The sequence below is a fragment of the Homo sapiens genome, chromosome 11 (genome assembly GCF_000001405.40).
Source record: "Homo sapiens chromosome 11, GRCh38.p14 Primary Assembly".
Lineage (NCBI taxonomy): Eukaryota > Metazoa > Chordata > Mammalia > Primates > Hominidae > Homo > Homo sapiens.
This window is the reverse complement of record NC_000011.10, coordinates 40489281-40509326: the sequence shown is the minus strand read 5'-3', so window position 1 is coordinate 40509326 and position 20046 is coordinate 40489281. Positions and strand designations below refer to the sequence as shown.

The 20046-nt window shown below is 36.5% G+C and overlaps 1 protein-coding gene across 18 annotated transcripts in view; it reads left to right on the top strand.

Moving 5' to 3' along the window:
* Positions 1-20046, top strand: part of LRRC4C (leucine rich repeat containing 4C) — a 1345454-nt gene that overhangs the window by 950326 nt on the left and 375082 nt on the right. The window lies entirely within an intron of this gene.

Sequence of the window (20046 nt, the reverse complement as noted above, 5' to 3'; positions counted from 1 at the left end):
TCCTATTAAACTATTTATCATGCTAAATAGCAACCCATTTCTTAACAAAATGGAATCACACTGTAGATGCATTGCTTAAATTATTACTTAATATTTCAAGTAGAATTTCTGATTTCCTGCAGAATTATTTTAATGACTACATGAAACACCATAATTAACCAATCTCCTATTGTTGGCTATTATATCATTTCCAATTTGCTATCTGATAATTATGCTGTGATGAAGTATATATTATTTCCTTGATATATGTGATCAGAAAGGGAAATGCTGGTTCAATGGATCTGCTTATTTTAAGACATGTCAACATATATTTCCTCGTTGGCTTCAAGAGAGACAAACAATTTTACTCCTCCACAACACTTCATTTCTCAAGTTTCTTTTTTTTAAAGCTTTGTCAATTTGATAGGTCAAAAATAGTATTTCCTTATTTTAATTTAATAGCTACAATTTTAAAACTCATGGTTATTACTTATGGTGATGCTTTTGTGCTTTAAGCCAACAGTTGAACAATAACAATTAACAGGACACTTTGACAACAGTTTCACATATATTATTTCATATAATATCCCAGCAGCCTTGAAAGACAGTGGAACCAATCATCACTAAAGTATATCACAAAGCATAACAATTCATTCTAAAAGTATTCATACATTGAACTCCCAGTTTCAAAATTTAGGTGAATATTTTAATAAGACCTGCCATTCACAGAGTTCATGAAAAAGAAGGAATTTTCTTCCCTAGGACTAATCCCTTTTGGATAAAGATGAGAAGCTATTATTTCATTCTGGCCTGGTGAGTACATGAGCTAAATGCTGACAAGGCAGGTTTTTTTTTCATCTTAGGCTAAGCTTTTTTTGGGCCAACTTCCATAATTTCAGTTTCTGTAGCATTACACTGTACTACATTATAAATGCTATGTTCTATTTAAATCTAGGCATTATTTTTGCCAAGCCTTCTGTCTACCTCTGTTTTTTGTGTTTTATATGATTTTTTATTATAATAGTAACAAATTCTCATTGCAAAAAGTAACTACAGAAATGTACAAAGTAAAAGTAAATAATTCCCCCTTCTTTGGCCTTCAATTCCATTTCTGGAAAAAGCCACCATTAGCAGTATGATTTTCATCCTTTGGTATTTTCTAATATATTTTGTACATAGTTGGGCCCATTCTATACTTATAATTATATTGCATGATTTTGTTATTTGTCATTGTACAGTATTTGATCTGGCTTCAGAGTATGCTATTGGAGGGATATAACATTTAAATTTGGGCTGGGTGCAGTGTTTCACACCTGTAATCCCAGAACTTTGGGAGGCTGAAGTGGGCGGATCACTTCAGGCCAGGAGTTCGAGACTAGGCAGGTGTTTGAAATCAGCCTGGCCAACATGGCAAAACTCCTCTCTATTAAAAATACAAAAGTTAACCAGGTGTGGTGGTGCCTGCTTGTAATCCCAGCTACTCAGGAGGCTGTTGCAGGAGAATCGCTTGAATCCAGGAGGTGGAGGCTGCAGTGAGCTGAGATGGTGCCACTGCACTCCAGCCTGCACAACAGAGTGAGACTTTGTCTCAAAAAAAAAAAAAAAAAAATTAAATCTAGTGCCTTATAATGAAGATTTATGTTTTTCTCCAGTATAGTTGCCAATATTAAAATAAGCATCTTTATATGCCAGTATATTTCTAGATTACATTGCTAAAAGTTTATTGTTAACATAAACTGCTAAAAGTTCAGTTGAAAGTGATTCACACATATGGTAATGCTAGGCGTTACCATACCTTTTTCAAAAATAAATTTCTAAAATATCCATCCATAGGTTATTATAGTATCTATCTTCATACTCTCACCAACAATGAATGTATTTATTAGTGTTTATATTTGTTCATCCCAATTGTTAAAAAAAAGTTTTAATTTGCTTTCAATTAGCATAAGGTTGACCATTTAAAAAAATATATCTAGGGCTGTTCGGATTTTATTTTTAGTAAGCTGCCTTTTCCTATTCACTGCCTATTATTCTATTGAATTTTTAGACTTTTCTTCCGGATTTGCAGTCTTTCCTTGTATATACCTAAACCAGATATTTTGTCTAATCATATGTTATATATATTTCTCAGTCTTTAAACTATTTATGTAATTTTTGCTAGTAAGAAATTCTAACTTTTTATGTGGACTCATTTAATTTTTAAAGGTTTTGGTTTTTCTGTTATGCCTATGAAGGCAATCCCTATTCCAATATTAGTAATATTTTTAATACATGTAGTGTTTTTTGTATCTTTTATTTTTGTGTTTCAGCCTCACATCTTGATTAAACTAGGATTTATTGTCAAGTAAAGCAATAAGAATATATACTTAGTAGACTTACCCTGTATGTTTTATGTGTGTGTTTGTATACTTCCCTAAATTAACAGCTAGTTTTTCTAGTGTTGTCATTAAATAATCCTAAATAACTTCATAAATTTTCAGTCATTTAAAATGACACCTTAAACCTAAAATAAATTTTTCTAAATGTTTCTATTTTGGGACCTTATACATGTTCATTTATTTGTTAGCCTATTGTTGTGCCAATGCTCTTAATTACTATGAAATTATAAGGCATTATATATATTGTAGGACTAATCCAATTTCTTTCCTAATTTTTATGGCTATTTTTATGTTATTTTGTATATAAACATTAGAATTATTTTTTTTTCAGATGAGAATAAAAAGCAGTTAAATGAAGATTTTCATGATTAAACCTTGAGAAAATAGAAGAGAGCAAATATATTTCCTTTGGCCATGTTCCCGCTGGCTGTTGGAATAGATAAATAGTTTAGATTTTCAGCAACTTACTTTATCTAATTGTTTACAGTTTTATTCATTAGTACCTACTTCACTGATCAGAGGAAGTTTTCTTGTAATGAAATACGCTAATTCCGTTTACTGAAACTGTGTGAAGGAAGTAAAATGACAAGTTTTCATTCAGTAGTGTTAAGATTTCTGTTCATGTGAAAAGCCACACAGCTGCATATGGTCTGCTAGCTCTTGGATTCTCAAAGAAACTGGAAAGGCAAAGAAACAGCCTACATAGAGAAAACTGTGAGTCAGAGCATGTAGTAACTTCTACTTCATCTCATCATTATAAATTGAATTAAGTTGAATAAACTGAATTAACTGGTACTCTTAAGCTCAGTTTTTCTTAAAATTAGGGCCATTAAATGCAAGTTCAAATGAAGAGCATAGGGAATGTATGACTACCTTTGTAAACATAGAACATACCTAACCTATGTAGTTTAAGATCTGAAAGTTCACTGTAAGTCTGTAGTTTGAACCTTGAATTCACTATGTAACAATATGTTAAAAATGAAGTTTCCAGGAAAACTTCAAGACAGAATAAATGTGAAATTCTAAGGCTACATTTCCATGTGTAGATAAAGAAATTAGAAAAAAAATCATTTTCAGGCTTCTTGGAGTCCTCCAACCAGCATAAATATTAAGAAAATGGGGTCAGAATGTGAAAGCGGGGGGAGGTCAAAAATGATATTTCTTTGAAGAGAGGTATTATTGGGCTTCGAGCTCCCATTTCCTCTTTGAAATAATAACTTTGCTACTTTCTTACTCCAAACCTAGTAAAGCAAGTGTCAAGAGAATCCCTTAGACAAAACTGCAATGTTTTTCTTGCATTCATGGGCCAATGCCTGACATACATCTGAAATACAAAGTCAACCATTGAGTGGAATTTTACCCTACCCAGAAAATCTTGAAGCCAAGGAAAGATTATCATTTTGGATATGGAATTGAGAAAATGACTTCACTGAGGTGGGTGTTCATTCTCAAAGTTTACAGGGCACAGATAAGCAAGAGTGTTTGCAATGGACCATAACCCAGCAAGAGGTTTCCTTCAATCCTGTCTGATGACATTGTCTGGAAAAGTAAGACCTGAGCAGAAAAGGGCAGTAAATCTATTGTTGTTTGACCAGAGGTAGAGAAGGGAAACACAAGGTATGAGAATATAGTTGCATCTACTCAAGCTAAGGCAACTTCAGGAAGTAAGGTGTCAACAGTTGTTAAATCCTAAGGAGCCAATGGAAATTTGTGCATCAGAGAAAGCATAAGCCATACCCACCCAGGGTCACCAGCTTTAAATGTCTGCCTAACCAAAAACTGGAAGCCACCAACCAAGTAAGAATAGACCCATCTCCTTACCTATTTTTCTCCCAACTGCCAAATCCTCCCAGGACCCAGATTTAGCCTTATCCAATTGAATCAGCAGTTAGAAAATAGAGGACGAGGTAAGAGAGTATGAAGGAGAAAAAAACAAAAACAAAAAAACACCTGCCTTCCCCCACTAGAAGACTTGAGCCTGAAGATGGCCCACTCTGTCTAAGAATTTTTTAAATATGCTAATTCAAAAGTAAAATTTGATTACAATTCTGGACTGAAAATGCTAGTACTGTTTACGTGGTTTAAAGTGAGCCTAGGATTGCTATGATCTAAGACAGAGCCAGAAAATTCCCGAATCTTGTCATGATTTTGTCCAGGGAAAGAGACAGCCTCCGCTCTCTAAATAAAACATAAAATGTTGATGAGAAATGTGTCGATAGCAATACATTCTAGACAGTAAAATAGTTAACAAATAAAAAACTGTATGAAATTATAATTTAATATTGATTTTAGACCAAAATAATTATTTCAACACATAACTGAGATATCCTGGAGTCCTAAGAAAACATCTTCTTCCTCCAAGCTAATCATTTCTGCCCAACTTAAATCCATGAGTCTTAAGCCATCCCTTCACTCAACTCACACTAATATAAAGATTCAAAATCCTTAGGCTGATACCTGAGCTCTGGATTCTTGGATTCTGTCCACTTGGAGGACAGATGCCTCCAAGTGGCATCTGTTCATATTCTGTTCATCTGAGTCTTTTTCTGTGGGAACTGAGGATGGATAATTATGACCGTCTGTCCATCAGAATATCCTCCATGGCATCCCTCTTACTCCCCATAGTATACTTCACCCTCCAGTGGCTCTCTGTTGGAAAGGTTAATATACAGAATATTTTTATGTCTTTAAACTCACAAAAGTTATATTCTTTCATTCAGCTATTCATACATTCATTCATTTATCCATTAATTGTTCACTTAAATTTATATTTTACAAAATGCCAGATGATAAATGTTAAAAAAAAAATGGGAGCAATGAAGTTACTCCAAAATCCTAAATGGAAGATTTGCAGTTTTGGAATTGTGGGTGAAAATAATAAGTGCTTGTCAACTCTTTTCACCATGTAAATGGAAGGATATATGAGGAAGCTTAAAAATGACAATTTCTTTGGAGAGGGTTACTGGGGGGCTGTACATGTCTCTTTTTTTCTCTTCAAAACGCCATGGTTTACTGCCAATCTCTGGAAAGTGAGTTTATAGCTGACCAGGTAGATAGTATACTGCACCATGGAACACTGCAGAAAGATATCCACACAAATGTATCAAAAGCATCATGAAAGAAAAAGCCAACATTTGTATATCCACCTTTTTGAGGGCATTAGCTTCAGATTAAAACCACACTAATAAAATAAGGCCTTTTTAAATCCTTTACCTCTAATCCTCACTGTCTACTGAGCCTAACTCTTGAAAGAACAGAAATAAAAATTTAAGAATGTGGTAAAATGGTGAATCAAGAAAGAAAGTAGACATAGAACATCCTTGTTCCTGTCAATCTTTGAGTCCTGTGTCATGCAAGAATTGTGATAGCGAGTTAAGAAGCTTTAAATAGATTGAAAGACTGAAGCTTTGGTATAAGATTGCATTGGGCTTTTTAATATCTAAGAATGTGCATAGACAATATAGTGAAATTACTTCAGGGTTTCACAGTAACCAGCTTAGCATTTTCAGCAAATTGGTTAGACAGTATGTTTAAGGAGCTCAATACCTAGAAAGACAGAGAAGCTGCATATAAATAAAGTGTAATTCATTTATTCAACCAATATTTATTGCCCATGTGCTATATGCTAGGCATGGTTCCAGGTATTGGGAAAATAGCATGAACACTGTGTTAGATGCCTTAAAAAATATTTAAGAAAAGGTACTTTGAAATTAAAGAAGTAATTCTGTCCTGGGGTCTGTAGGAAGGCTTCATGAAGGTAATGTTTTTACATACCTTCACAGAGGCAGAAATTTGTCAACATATGAACTACCAGGTAGCAGAAGCTGTGTGTTTAGAGGGAGAAAGGGAAAAGTTTGAAACAGTATAGTAGCCATGCGCTGCGAGTCAGCATGGTGTCTTGGGGAAAGCATGAGTATTGAGTCAAACAGAGCTAAATTTACATCTAGGTGAAATCTTAGCTGAGTAACAGCTGACAATTTTATGAGCCTATCTGAAGTTGTCAACGTTGTGGGTGGTTTTCAGATCTTTTCTAATATTCACTTTGCCAAAGCGAGAATGCTTCAAGTGACACTTTTGCCTCATAAGAGAACATCTTACATTACAAAAATCACATATTTTTTTCTAAGTAGAAATTGTTTACCTATAACTTTGATGAAGACAGAGAAATAAACCAAGTCGTGATCAAAGAGTGAAAGATGTCATAGATCATAAAACTATTAGTCATAAGGCAGAGCTACATATTTATAGAGATGCATGCTTATGTGGTTTGGCTCTGTGTCCCCAACCAAATCTCATCTTGAATTGTACTCCCATAATTCTCACGTGTTGTGGGAGGGACCAGGTGGGAGATAATTGAATCGTAGGGGTCATTTCCCCCATACTATTCTCATGACAGTGAATAAGTCTCATAAGGTTTCATGGTTTTATAAGGGGTTTCCACTTTCACTTCTGCCTCATTCTCTCTTGCTGCCACCCTGTAAGAAGTGCCTTTCACCTCCCACCATGATTGTGAGGCTTCCCAAGTCACATGGAACTGTGACTCTTTTAAACCTTTCTTCTTCCCCGTCTCCAGTATGTCTTTATCAGCAGCATGAAAATGAATGAATACAGTAAATTGGTGCCAATAGAGTGGGGGCACTGCTGAAAAGATACCCAAAAATATGGAAGCAACTTTGGAACTGGGAAACAGGCAAAGATTGGAACATTTTGGATGACTCAGAAGAAGACAGGAAAATGTGGGAAAATTTGGAACTTCCTAGAGACTTGTTGAATGGCTTTGACCAAAATGCTGATAATGATACAGACAATAAAGTCCAGGATGAGGTGGTCTCAGATGGAGATGAGGAACTAGTTGGGAACTAGAGCAAAGGTGACTCTTGTTATGTTGTAGCAAGGAGACTGGCAGCATTTTGCCCCTGCACTAGAGATTTGTGAAACTTTGAACTTGAGAGAGATGATTTAGGGTATCTGGCAGAAGAAATTTCTAAGCAGCAAAGCATTCAAGAGGTGACTTGGGTGTTGCTAAAGGCATTCAGTTTTACAAGTGAAGCAGAGCATAAAAGTTCAGAAAATTTTGCAGCCTGACAATAGGATAGAAGAGAAAATCCTATTTTCCAAGGAGAAATTCAAGCCTGCTGCAGAAACTTGCATAAGTAACACAGAGACGAGTGTTAATCACCAAGACAATGGGGAAAATGTCTCCAGGACATATCAGAGACCTTCGTGGCAGCCCCTCCCATCACAGACCCAGAGGCCTAGGAGGAAAAAATGGTCTTGTGGGCTGGGCCCAGGGTCCCTCTGCTGTGTGCAGTCTAGGGACTTGGTGCCCTGCTTCCCAGCCACTCCAGGGATGACTAAAAAGAGCCAAGGTACAGATCAGGCTGTAGCTTCAGAGGGTGCAAGCCCCAAGCCTTGGCAGCTTTCATGTGGTGTTGAGCCTGCAGGTGCACAGAAGTCATGAATTGAGGTTTGGGGACCTCTGCTTAGGTTTCAGAGGATGTATGGCATCACCTGAATGTCCAGGCAGAAATTTGCTGCAGGGACAAGGCACTCATGGCGAACCTCTGCTAGGGCAGTGCGGAAGGGAAATGTAGGGAGGGGACTCCCACACAGAGTCCCCACTGGGGTGCTGCCTAGTGGAGCTGTGAGAAGGGAGCCACTGTCCTCCAGGCCCCAGAATGGTAGCTCCACCGACAGGTTGCATTGTGTGCCTGGAAAAGCCACAGACTCTCACAGCAGCTTGTGAAAGCAGCCAGGTGGGGGGCTTTATCCTGCAAAGCCACAGGGGCAGAATTGTTCAGTTGTTGTGGGTTCCATGGGAACCCACCCCCTTGCACCAGTGTGACCTGGATTCGAGACATGAAATCAAAGGAGATCATTTTGGAACTTTAAGATTTGACTGCCCCAGTGGATTTCAGACTTGCATGGGGTCTGTAGCCTCTGTATTTTGGCCAATTTGTCCCATTTGGAATGGCTGTATTTACCCAATGCCTGTATCCCCAATGTATCTAGGAAGTAACTAACTTTCTTTTGATTTTACAGGCTCATAGGTGGAAGGGAGTTAACTATCTTGGATAAGACTTTGGACTGTGAACTTTTGAGTTAATGCTGAGGTGAATTAAGACTTTGGGGGACTGTTGGGAAGGCATGATTGGTTTTGAAATTTGAGGACATGAGATTTGGCAGGGGCAAGGTGTGAAATGATATGGGTTGGCTCTGTGTCCCCACCCAAATCTCATCATGAATTGTACTCTCATAATTTCCATGTGTTGTGGAAGGGACCTGGTGGGAGATAATTGAACTATCGGGGCAGTTTCTCCCGTACTGTACCTGTGGTACTGAATAAGTCTCATGAGATCTCATGGTTTTATCAGGGGTTTCAGCTTTCACTTCTGCCTCATTCTCTCTTGCTGCCACCATGTTAAACGTGCCTTTTGCCTCCCACCATGATTGTGAGGCCTCCTGAGCCACGTGGAACTGTGACACCATTAAACTGATTTTTCTTCCCAGTCTCAGGTATGTCTTTTTGAAAGACAGCATGAAAATGGACTAATACACATGCATATATTTAAATAATTATAAATGTTCTTTATTGAACAATAGATTATATATATATAATGTGTATATATATATAATGTGTGTGTGTGTGTGTGTGTGTGTGTGTGTGTGTGTGTGTATATATATATATATATATATATCAGACATTAGGTTATGTGGTCTAGATACTTTACCTTAATTCTTCTAACAATCTTATGCCATTGGCATTATAATCCATACATCTTATGTTGAGGATGCGACAGGTTAAGTAACTCATCCCCAGTTACGTACCTATTAAGTCACACATCAGTTTTCTTTGATTCCAGAATCCATAACTGTATGCACCACTGAACACTTCATTATTTGAATCAGGTTTTATTGCAGATATTTCCATTCTAATTCCCAGAATTTTATAGTAATCTCTGGGAAGCTGGGACAGGAACAGAGGATGGGTAAGGGCCCACCATGAAAAACACCCAATGATCCCTTCTCTCTGATTCCTACCTTTTGTCCCTGGCCTAGGTCTCATTAGTTTTCTTAACTTTCTCTCCCATGACGATGTTATTGCTTCATCTGATGCACTCTTACAAGCATCAGAGGCCAACCTTGTTGTTGGTCCAGCTTGTTTGTTGAGGTTCTCTTGATGTAACTACTCATTTCCCCTTTCACGTTTCTTTGGCTTTCCTTCAAATCAATCCTTTGGTGTCTTTTTAACATGTTAGTTTATATCTAAGCTCCCAAGAGTTACCCAATTTAGAGATTATCATCTCAGTTACTATTTTCACCATCATCAACATCAGTATCATTATCTCCATAATCATCAATACATTGATTAGATATTGAGAACATTTTTTGTGGCTCTTTTGTTGATGTCAACAATGTGGGAATTATGTGAAAATCAGTCACATAATGGGCAAGTTTATGGCTTCTTTCCTACTGGTTGAATGTACTATGGACTGTGAGGGATTCACTCTTCCCAGTGGTCAATTACATGGCCATTTTTACCCAAAGATTTACTTTGGAGTAGAGACCAGGTGTGCAATGTGATGGTTTCCATATGATACTTGCTGAGCAGGATGCTTGGATATGCAGATACATTTTCTGACTCAGTATGGTGATATTTTTGTTTACCTGGTGGCCATATGGAAGTTGTACAAGTTCAATCTAGGGGCTTGACAGGTTATTTCTTTGGACAGCACAGCCGAGACATGCTGTTCACCTAAGAGCTGTCAGTTTCAGCTTCAAATGTGGATAGTTTCTGCCAAGGCTGACATCTCATTTTCCCATCCTCTCTCCAGCAGGGAGGCTCTCCTGCCAAGCCCACTTAAAATAGTTTCTTCAGTTGTGGCTGGTACTTGTTAACTCCTTTGGGGCAGACTACTTCTAAACTTTAAGTCATAATATCACCTATTTCAAAATTAATGTACAATGAAAAGTCCCCTGGTAACATGGGGAGAGGAAAGGAACAATTCTAATCTTCTATCATCTCAACGTTTTGACAGTTGCTTAAACACACTCTGTAGGATGACTGGCCTTATTCACAATCACTGAGATCATTTAAAGCCTATTTTTCCAGTAAATTCCACTTAGTCCAGTAAAAATGTTCCAAATACCTCATTGTATATTTAAATTTGCATACATAAATGTCTTATAAGTGACACCATCTTATAAACATTCCTGAGGGACTTAAGCATCTAAGACATAATCATTGTTTATTAAAAACAATTCTGAAAACTTGTTTCATGGGAAGCATTTTGCATTTATTCTGAGTCAATTCTCACCACAACATTGCTAAGTAGCAATTATCACATTTTACTTATGAGAAAACCAAGAGCCAAATATACTAATTTTATCTTCCAAGGCTATCGACCTAAGATGCATAGGATTGTAATCAAGGTTTGCTAATGCTAAAACCTAAATACTCTTCTTCTCATATTTATTTTCAATATTAAAATGAACAAAAGTAATGAAACCATTTGGAGAAGAAGTAAACCTATATAATGCAGAATATTACACGAAGTTCAACTAAACTTCCCAACTATTTGCGGCATCAGTGGCAGTGGGAGCAGTGTAGGAGTAATGGTGCACATGAAGGTATTTTTAATTTGGGTGCTATATTGGAAGGTACCTTATAATTCCTTCAGTCTAATTCCGTTGTAGCGTTACTTCCAGGAGTGTGGTCTAGGGATGTTAACTCACTTGCCTAACTCTACATATTATTTAGGGGGCAACTTTAGGAACAGAACTCAATCATTCTGACTTATGATACAAAAAGGAATAGCTAAATTTGCCTTGACTTTGTACCTGGTAGCGGGTGGTCTCTATAACCACTCAAGTAACTGTATAAGCTAAGATTTGCTAAAATTAAGGAATTAATTATGTAGATAAATGTAATATTTTTTGTAAGTCGATTTAAATAAGATTTACATAAGTGTTAAGAGTAGTACAATTTCATTAAAGGTACACTTTCTTATACCATAAAATGAAAAGTCAGAAATACTGGTCTATAAATGCAAAATTTATTTTTTAGAGATTTTTTAGGGGTTGTATTCAGTTTTTATAAGAACTGAGGTCTTTGTCCTGGGAACTTGTGCTTAACTTCTGACCCTTAGCTTTTATTTCTCAAACACCTCAGAAAGAGGAGGAACCTAAATATCAATAGTGACTATTTGTGACTTCTGATGATTTCTGATTTGGTAATCCCAGGTGTTAAGAGCACAAAATAATTCTGAATAGAGTCCAAGGTTATCTGCTATGCAAATGGGAGCTACACTGTCATGGCCTTTCTTTCCAACCAGAAAATCCAGCTGTAAAGTTTGTGATGAAGGTGTAGCATGGTCACATTTCTTTTGTAGCTTCACCTTTTCAAACTGTTTTTATTTTTTTAGATTATGTGGTCTTCAAATGTTTCTCTTCACCCTTACCTTTAAGAAGCAAATATGCAGTGGAGATATTAGTATATCCATGAAAACGATGTGCTTAAGTTTTAGTTTATTTTTTCTACTTAAATAATTCATGACTTTTTTTTTTAATGGAATTTTACTTTTGTTGCCCAGGCTGGAGTGTAGTGGCATGATCTTGGCTCACTGCAACCTCCGCCTCCCAGATTCAAGCGATTCTCCTGCCTCAGCCTCCGAAGTAGCTGGGAATACAGGCATCCACCACCATGCCTGGCTAATTTTTGTATTTTTAGTAGAGACGGGGTTTCACCATGTTAGCCAGGATGGTCTCAATCTCCTGACTTCGTGATCCGCCCGCCTCTGCCTCCCAAATTGCTGGGATTACAGGCGTGAGCCACTGCGCCCACCAATAACTCATGACTTTTGATGATTTAGTTGCCTACCACACTTCTCTTCCTTTTCTTCCCATTCTCCCCTGCTATTTTCAAAACAATGGATCAAGAACAAGACTTGAACAGCAGATGGGTTTTGAGGGGGATGATGATCTTTAGGAGCCATGAGAGGACGCTAAGAACACAACTTGTGTAGCACTTCTCCAAGACAATAGCCATCACTTTCCATAGCATTCATATAAATTATCCTGAAATTGGTTAGGAAACTGAACTTTTAGAATCTTCTAGTACATTCAAGACATGAGCACATGTGAACTCAATCTCAATCACAGTTTCTCACGCTGGGTCGGAGGGTGATTGGATTAACCTGAACCCTAACCATCACTCATCTAAACACATGGTTTCAGAGACTCCCCATATGTTTCTATCTCCCCATTAATCATCTCAGTCATTCTTCTGTCACCGCTGAATGTGAAGACATAACTCAGGTGTGTATGAAGGCAGAAAAATGATTGACAACCATAAATTGGGATCCTTTTGCTTCTTTCTGGTATATTTTCCCTCTGAGTCTTAAGTAGGATGGTCTATGCGGATTTGAGTCTCTGATTAAAAAAAATAATAATAAAATAAAAACCAAGAATATGAAATAGGTTTTCCTATATTCAGTGTAAAATATATCTCTTCATGTAACTATTTACAAAATAAACTACCTGAGGCAATGGATATGTTAATTGGTTTGATTGTGGTAATCCTTTCACAATGTACAAGTGTATCAAAATATCACTTTATACGCCTTAAATATATATAGTCTTTGTTAGTTACACCTCACAAAGCTGGAAGAAAATAAGTTTGTGATCAAATGAAAGACAACTAATAGAGATTATGCCATGTCCATAGAGCTGAGTAACCAAATCTAAAATAATTCATGTAGATCAGGGAGGTAAAAATGAAATCATTATTTTCCTGTCTTCTCTTCTTTACCTCATGCTTGCAGTCATTTAAGACACTTTTGGCCAGGCGTGGTGGCTCATGACTGTAATCCTAGCACTTGGGATGCCAAGGTGAGCAGATCACCCGAGGTCGGGAGTTCGAAACCAGCCTGGTGAAACCAGGTGAAACCACGTCTCTACTGAAAATACAAAAATTAGCCGGGCGTGGTGGCACTTGCCTGTTATCCCAGCTACTTGGGAGGCTGAGACAGGAGAATTGCTTGAACCCCGGGGGCGGAGGTTGTAGTGAGCTGAGATCGCATCACTACACTCCAGCCTGGGCGATAATGCGAGACTCTCTCAAAAAAAAAAAAAAAAAAAAAAAAAAAAAAAAAAAACATGTTTATTGAGAACTTCAATAAAATCGATGTCCCAAGTTCTGAGGTTTCCAGTACTATTTTCCATTAGTGGATAGTGAGTTGCATTCCAACACAGAGACTAAGAGATTCTTTCACCCAACTTATTAAATCAAGTACTGACTAGCAACAATAATTCAAAGATTACTGGTAGAAAGTCACCAACTAGATAGGGTCTTACCCGCTATGTTGTTAATGATCTGTCAGGATTTTCACGGTCATCTTCTTCCTTCCACACACATCTTCTTAGGGAAATAATTTAACGTGTAATATCTCAACTTGGGGAACTTTCTAAACCCTCTGATTTTACTGTATTTTATTTAGTGACTTAGGTAAGTGTCACTCCTGAGACACTGGTATATTAATCTACTCAAAGGTTATTTGTGTGGATATGTTTTTCAAGCATTGACCTCTATATAAATTTCCAAATATGTGGCGCTGCAGGGAAGATATTTGGTCATGGTGAAACAAACAAATTTATTAATTTTTTTCTGGCGGGGGGGGCGGAGAGGTTGTTCGTTTGTTTTGCCTTTCCATTTTGAACCTCCTCGCTTCGCACAAACTACTTAACAAAATCTACTATTTGGGTTTATAAATACTTGCAACAGCACATTTAACCTGTACTTTGAAATCTCCATTAAGCTTTGATATAAAGTGCACATTATTGATTCAAATAATCTGTTGGGAATAGCAAACAGAAATTTCAAGATTAAAAATGGACACTTATCGATAATAATATGCCACAGCCAATGTTAATAATATTCATGCTCTCCTTAGCACTGTGCTGAACTTTATGTGTACATTTTAGTTAATTATACAAGAGATTCTATGAGAGCGATACAATTTTCTATAATTTACAGAAGGAAAAATTTAAAACCTAACAACATTTAGATAATATCCAAGTTAAGTTGGGATTCAAACAGTCTGATTGCAAATTCCTTGTACTTATTTGGAGCATTAAATTGCTTCATACAATACTTTGCTGGACAGTGTGGTATCCAAGTAAAAAAGCTGTGTAGCAGCTGCTCAACAACTCTTCACTATTGTAAAAGTAGCAGGAATAGTGCTTCTTCTCCTATGAAAGCAGAAATCCTTATTTCACATATCATAAATTTTTCATCTTTACCAGGGCATATGATTTACCACTTATTATGTCTATATGTGTGGTTTAATCTTGAATTACTGCTTCTGCATGCTAGATGTATAAACAAAGTCTGATTTATGTCATATGTAAAACAGAAACATAGGAAACTATAATACCATTGCATAAATGAGATAATTTATTCAAGGTCCCTAATGGTGGTACCCAGTATATAAATGTCAACATTCGTTAATTCCTTTCCCTCAGAAATAATCACTATTCTCTATCTTGAAATGCAAGTTTCTGCAAATGTTTATCAGGTATATTCAAATAAATATATTCCAACATTATTTATTGTTAGCTGATTTAAAAGGCAAACATGAACTTTGTAGAATATTTAGAAATTACAGGATATAATATAAAAGACAAATAAAAATAACTTTTTCAGTTTGAGTACTGTCAGAAAACAGACGGCACGCTCAATCCCAGTAATTTTGCAATGCTTAGAGAAATTAAGAAGTTTCCTAGAGGACCAATACTGGAGAGCCATTACCACCCCTCAGCCTGAAAGAAGAAGTGGAGGGAATGGTGGAACCCCACGATGGTAGCAATATGGAGAAGGATTCTTGACAGAAGCCTTGGCCTTCATTAGATAAATATAGCTAAGCCACCGTGGCTTAGCGGGGATAGAGAAAATTAATTCCCTGATGTCATCTTCCTGCTACCTCTGAAAGTTCTTTTGATAACTTCTTTTAACTGAAAATTAAGCCAGAGAGCTAGGAAATCACATAAAGGAGAACATCAAGGTCAGCCTCCCAAGATTTAGAGTAGGATGGAGAACAGTAAACAGTAGATTTAGGGGGGCTGAGAGAGAACAGTCAGCACCCAGAATGATTTGGTCTTTCTAACTGGTAATTCGCGTTCCACCTAAATGCACTTAATAACCTTAGTTGGTTGGTATTGCTGAGGATTAGGCTCCAAATTTTTAAGCTATCATCTTGTATCATGAAGAGTGCCTATAATTCACTACTTACATTAGATAGTTGTTACTATTTGTTTTAATAGTTTATCAAGCTAAGAATTTATAGTACAGACTTACAGAACTTTTCTCAACAACCTGAACAATTCTGAGTACACATCAATCACACAATTTTTTTTTTACCTTTACTCATTCATTCTGAGAAGCTCCCTACCATCTTCATGAGCACATCTGTGATCGCTGTAATCATGTCAGTTGCATTTATTTCATTCTATTTTTGTGTTCTAATGACCAATACACAGTATGATTGTTGTGTTAGGACTTTCTTGGTTGCAAATATCAGAAATGGAATCAAAACTATTTTAAGGAAAAGACTTGTTTAACTTACATATCTGTAGATTACACAGGTATATTTTGGAATAGGTATAGACAAAGCTGGATCTACAGGCTCAAAAATTATATAGTACAAGCCTATACACATTTTTATTATATAAAGTTACCATTTCCTTACATAATTTTTCCCATTCTTAAAGTAGTCTGTGTTTAGACAAGATTAAATTTCTATACTGCTGTGATTTTTAGAGGTATAAATTTAGCTATCTCTATTTCTATATTATCTATATATCCAACCATCCATTTATCTCTATATTTATATTTAATATATATTAAATATGGTAACCATATAGTTATAGAAATATATATTTATAGATGCATCTTTATCTTGCCACTGTTTTCCACTTTCAAGTAGACCTTCTCACTTATAACAGGTAGAAAAGATGGCCCTTGGGAATTAAAGGTGATAGTATAAAATTCTAGCAATGTAGCAGAAAGAGAAATCCTCCAATATTTCTAGCAAAAGCCTATAGGGTCATTCTCATAATCTGCTTTGGGCCGTTTCACCATCAGTGAAAAAATAACTGCAGATATCTGTATATATAGAGAAAGACAGAATACTCTTGCAGGTGAGGCATAGGTAAAGCCTGTTGATGTCTCACTTTTAGATATCCTCCTAAATATTTCATAACTTTTTTTGTGAGGTACATACCTAAATATTAGGTTTCAATGAGAAGACTCTATTACCTAGAAAGATTTTTAAAAGAAAAGATAATGTCAGCCTGGGAAGAAACAGTTGAATTGTTTGAAACCAGCCTATTCAACAGCCTAGGTGCAGAAGGAAGAGACAAGAGTCGTTTACTAAAAGATACGTAATAACGTGTAAGGTGGCTTAGATACTAGGGAAAATGAAACATGATTTTTAAAAATCAAAATATACAAACAAATCATTCTTGAAAATAAAACATTACTCCAAAACTATTTAAAAATTAAATGGAAAGTAAATAAAAGCACATTAACTATGGCAGCTGAAAGCAAAATGGTCTTTCATAATTTGTATATCTGTGGGATCTACTTAAAATGAATCTTATCGATTAACCAATCATTAAAGTAATAAAAGGTTCTAGAAATATGACTCAAGTAATATTAAAGATTTGACAACGTAGTCGAGTGACAAATGTATGAATGAAAATACAATTTAATCCAACAAATTTTTCAAGCCAGGCAAACAAAAGTATGGTCTTGCATATTTAGTAAACACTTGCAATTATATGTGTAACAAGTTGCTTACTAACCTCTTATTTTGTATCTGAACTCTCTAGTGCCATCTCTTTAAAGAAGGCCTCTAGAAAAATTAGGTGTATGTGCAAGACATCATAGTCTCTAATAAACTGTGTCAATTCAAAATATAAAGCTATCTCCTTTGGGTAATATTAAACCAAGTTCTCTGAATTATTAAAACTTGTGCTACAATATGGTATGGTAGGCAGAATTATAGAATGGCCTCCAAGTTTCCTGTCTCCTGGTGTACTCACCCTGTGTAATTCCCCTCTGTGAAAATAGGTGGGACTGTGAACGTGATGAGATACTTACTCATGAGAGGATATACTATATAACAAAAATGTAAAGTTTTTTTAGATATAATAAAGGCCCCTAATCAGTTGATTTTGAGTTATTAAATAGGAAGCACGTTCTAGCAGAACTTGACCTAATCTGATGAGTTATTTAAAAGATGGTTTAGAGGTGAGAAACAGATGCACTCATTATCCTTGAAGAATCAAATAGCCATGTTGTGTAGAGAGCTGTATGGCAGGAAGTGATCAGCAGCTTCTAAGAGCTGAGGTACGCATTCCTACAACCACAAGAAACTTAATTCTGTCAATAGATGGTGAAATTGAAAGAGAACCCCAAGCCTCAAGTGAGATTGCATCCCTAGCCAACACCTTGACTGCAACCGTGTAAGTGCCTGAGCAGACTAAGGTAAGTTGTGCCTAGTTTCCTGACCTGTGGAAATGGCAAAATTATAAATGTGTGTTGTGTTAAGCTGCTAAATTTGTTGTTACACAGCAACAGAAGCTAATCAACATGGCTTCTCCCATTTATTTATTTTGTGTGTGTGAGACAGAGTCTTGCTTTATTGCCCAGGCTGGAGTGTAGTGGTGCAATCTCAGCTCACTGCAACCTTTGCCTCCTGGGTTCAAACGATTTTCATGCCTCAGCCTCCCGAGTACCTGGGGTTACAGGTGTCTGCCATCACGTCCAGCTAATTTTTTTGTATTTTTAGTAGAGATGGGGTTTTACTATGTTGATCAGGCTGGTCTCTACTCCTGGCCTCAAATGATCTGCCCACCTCAGTCTTCCAAAGTGCAGGAGTTGCAGGTGTGAGCCAATGTGCCCTGCCTATACACATTTTTATAACAGAAAATTACCATTTCCACACATAATTTTTCCCATTCTTAAAGTAGTCTGTGTTTAGACAAGCAGTACAGTCACTCAGGAGTAATCCATATGTCAGAAAGAAAATGATACTCTTTATGAGCTTTCTCCTAGAAAAATAAAAACTCTCCTGTTTATTTTGCATTTCCTAAACCAGGTTTTTAAAATAATCCTGAGAAGTTAATGCAATATAAATTATGTTTCCAAATTAAAGAACATCCTTTACTTAAGAACTTTGAAGTGAAGAGATGGAGGCTGCCGAGGAGTTCCATGCTTACTATTATTCCCTTCAGTATCTTCACCAGTGGAAAAGGAGAAGCGTTTTCCATAGATGTTGCAGTGAGGAGCTACATTCAGTAAAATTCACTCCTCAGGCCCAAGGGTTAAGAGAAAGTGGAGACCAAAGTTAGAAAATAAAGAACATTGAATGTCTTTTTTTTCCCTTAAAAGTCTCTCCTATTAGCAATATAAAAATCTAAGTAATTACAGATGGGGATTTTTGGAAGGAGATGCATACAACAGGCATACATGCACTACAAGGCCAAATTAGAGGTCATCCCAGAGACATTCAGAATTTCATTACAGCAGCCCAGCTTGACATTGTGTCATGTCCAGTGTCCACTAATATAAGGTGATGGCTTTAGGTGCAAGAGTGGTGAAAAGGCAGATGAGTGCTTTATCTAATAATAACTAAAAGATTAATGTCAGCTTGGCCAAGTACTGTTGAAAGGCAGAAGGAAAAAACAATCCACAACTTTGTGAAAAAGCTCCAACTTCTGGGACTGAATATTAGATGGAGAAACTACTACTTTTTTTAGTTATACATTTTATTTATTATAAATTTTATTTAACAAATTTATTGAACATACACTATATGGCAGGCATTGTTTGACACAAAGATGGCAGGCACTGATCATGAGTAGTTCCTTCTGCAAAAGGCAACTGAGGAAGGAGAGTGGGTATTTTCAATATATTTCTGCTAGACTATGAACTTGAAGGCCTATATTTTCCATTGTTTTGTACCAATGGTTTCTTAACAGAGGTCCAGACACACAGTGAGTGCTCAATAAATGTATGTTAAATGAATAAATGGATAAAGGATTGGTTTACTCACTACTTATCGGAGAAGTATTTTACAAAATCAAGTCAATAAAAGTATCCTATTTGTCTGCCTTAACATTCATCTTCAAATGTAATAGAATAGTAAATGGGAGCTGACCTATTAGACTCTCATAGCTGGAAGTGAAAAAAGGAAAGGTAGAAAAAGCACATGTTGCTGAACAATAAAGGGGGTTCCATTTATTGTGAGCTTTCAATTGTTTCTAGGAAAAACAGTGGTAGCTCCAACCCTTGTATTTTTGAGGCTACTGAATATGTTCCAGGTACTAGAAACTACAGAGACGGAAATAACAAATTTCTGCCCTCAAGGATAAACTCATATATATAAATAATGACAACCTGGCAGGGTATTAATATAAAGTATCTTTTGGAGTCATGTGGGATTACATGAGAAATAGGCCTGCCTGACCCAGAGAGTTGTGAGTATGCGTGTAGGTGAGGAAAGAGGGTTATGAAAGTGGTCATCTAAAGATTCCCAGGGATGTTAATTCTAAATTGAGTTTTGAAAAATGTGTTGGAGTTAGCTTTTAGGGGAGCAAGGGGGACATTGTAGGCAGAGAGTGACTT